This window comes from Homo sapiens, chromosome 8 (genome assembly GCF_000001405.40).
Source record: "Homo sapiens chromosome 8, GRCh38.p14 Primary Assembly".
In the NCBI taxonomy this organism is placed as follows: domain Eukaryota; kingdom Metazoa; phylum Chordata; class Mammalia; order Primates; family Hominidae; genus Homo; species Homo sapiens.
Genome location: NC_000008.11, coordinates 8,269,857 through 8,271,775, shown reverse-complemented (window position 1 = coordinate 8,271,775; position 1,919 = coordinate 8,269,857). Strand labels below are relative to the sequence as shown.

The 1,919-nt window shown below is 45.6% G+C and overlaps 1 annotated feature.

Moving 5' to 3' along the window:
* Window positions 1,095–1,389: a silencer, noted in NCBI's record as "tiled region #6714; K562 Repressive non-DNase unmatched - State 21:Repr". NCBI's record gives its function as "represses a minimal TATA promoter and a strong SV40 promoter by Sharpr-MPRA in K562 cells {active_cell/tissue: K562}" and the evidence as "EXISTENCE:reporter gene assay evidence [ECO:0000049][PMID:27701403]".

Genomic DNA, 1,919 nt, shown 5'->3' with positions numbered 1-1,919 from the left:
ATTACATCAAGGTATAAGGAAGGAACAGAACCTGGATTGATACCTGAAATTCAAGACATCAGTCACTTTCTACTTTAAAATCTAATTGATCCCTTTCTTTAATTTATTTTTTGTTTGTTTTTGATTTTGTTGTTGCTGTTGTTGTTGTTTTGAGGTAGGGTCTCACTCTGTCACTCAGGCTGGAGTGCACTGGTGCAATCTCAGCTCTCTGCAACCTCTGCCTCCTGGGTTCAAACGGTTCTCCTGCCTCAGCCTCCCGAATAGCTGGGACTACAGGCACTCACCACTATGCCTGGCCAACTTTTGTATTTTTAGCAGAGACAGGGTTTCACCATGTTGGCCAGGCTGGTCTCGAACCCCTGGCCTCAAGTGATCCACCTGTCTCAGCCTCCCAAAGTGCAGGGATTACAGGCATGAGCCACCGTGCCCTGCTTAAATCTAATTTTATTTCCCTCCATGTCTTTCATTCTATGGAGTTTTTCTACTAAGTGAAGCTGAGAAAACAAAAGTAATAATTGGAGGGATGTTTAAGACAGAATTCGAAGCCAGCAGTTCCATATGCCAGCTTTTTGCAACAACTTAAAGGAAATAGTAAAGAAGCAACATTGGTTAGAACAAATGTATATTTCACTACCCAAACCCCCAAATCACACAAGAAATGGGGCACCCATGTTCTTCCATACCTTTGATGCCCATTATGACAACCACAAAAGCCACTGGAAAAAAAAATTAAACATTTATGGGATCTGTTTATCCAGAAGTTGAGTAAGGAAAGAGGTGGGGACAAGACACAGCTCCCAGTGGATGTGAGGAGTTTCCATCTCCCAGGAAGGAGCGACTAACACCAGCTTGGGGCTTCTTGCACCCCAAATATTAAATAATTCATTCTGTATTGTTACATTTCCTGACTTCTAAAAATCAAACATATATTTAAGATATAACCTGAAGTGTTAAGTAGGTAATGGGTACCAGTAATTCCCATAGGGGATAGAATCGGTTTACTCCGATGACCTCTCTCCTGCCTCTGCAAGACACTTAAGGAACAGCAGCTTTCACAAAGTAGAAGGAAAGGAAGGATGACTGTCGATTATGGACTTATCTCTGCCTCAGATGAGGCTGGCCAGAGTACACACTCAGTCTGTGGGTAGGGTGGGGCAGAGGAAGGAGGTATTTCTCTCTGGGAGTCATGGGGCAATGTACAGATAGGTAAATACTGAAAACCAAGTCCCTGGAAGAATGCAAAGTCAGGGCCAAAATAAACATTCCAAACTGGGACAGCAATCCCAGGAGCCAAACAATGAATGGGAAGTAAGGTAAGGTGCCAAATGGGTTAGAAAAACAAGGCAGAAGAGAACCGCGGAGAGAGAGTATCGGGCAAGACCCAAAGAGGGGGCCATGACTGAGAAGTCATGCAGACCACATTTAGAAGAACTAAAATGGCTCAGAACTAACACCCGCCCCCGACCCCTTTCCCAGCAGGCCTTCTCCTTTAGAATGTCTCTAGGTTTGCCTGGGAGAAGCCTCTAAAGATTTCTGGAGCCTGCATTTCAAAGAAGGAAAGTGGGCTCATTGTCACAGTGGATCAATTCCTGGAGCCCCTGTTGGGTCCTTGGCGGGTGCTCTTGGTGTCGCAGGGAGCTATGCAGAGTGGTGTGGATGTTTTCAAAAGAGGGAAGCTAGAGGCAGAAAGCCATAGGGTTGGTGGCCTCAGACACCTTGAAGGGCCCAGGAGGCCCTCTGGTTTCTGGAATATCAGCTCTGCAACAATCTGAAGGAGATTCAGGCATCTTCCATTGAAATGTGTTCCCTGGGGGATGGACAGCTACCAGATTATGATTTATTTTGACCTTAGCACACCACAGGGTTGACTAGGGGTCTTTTGAAGTGGAACCCCCAACCTCTAGGTACCCATCAACTGC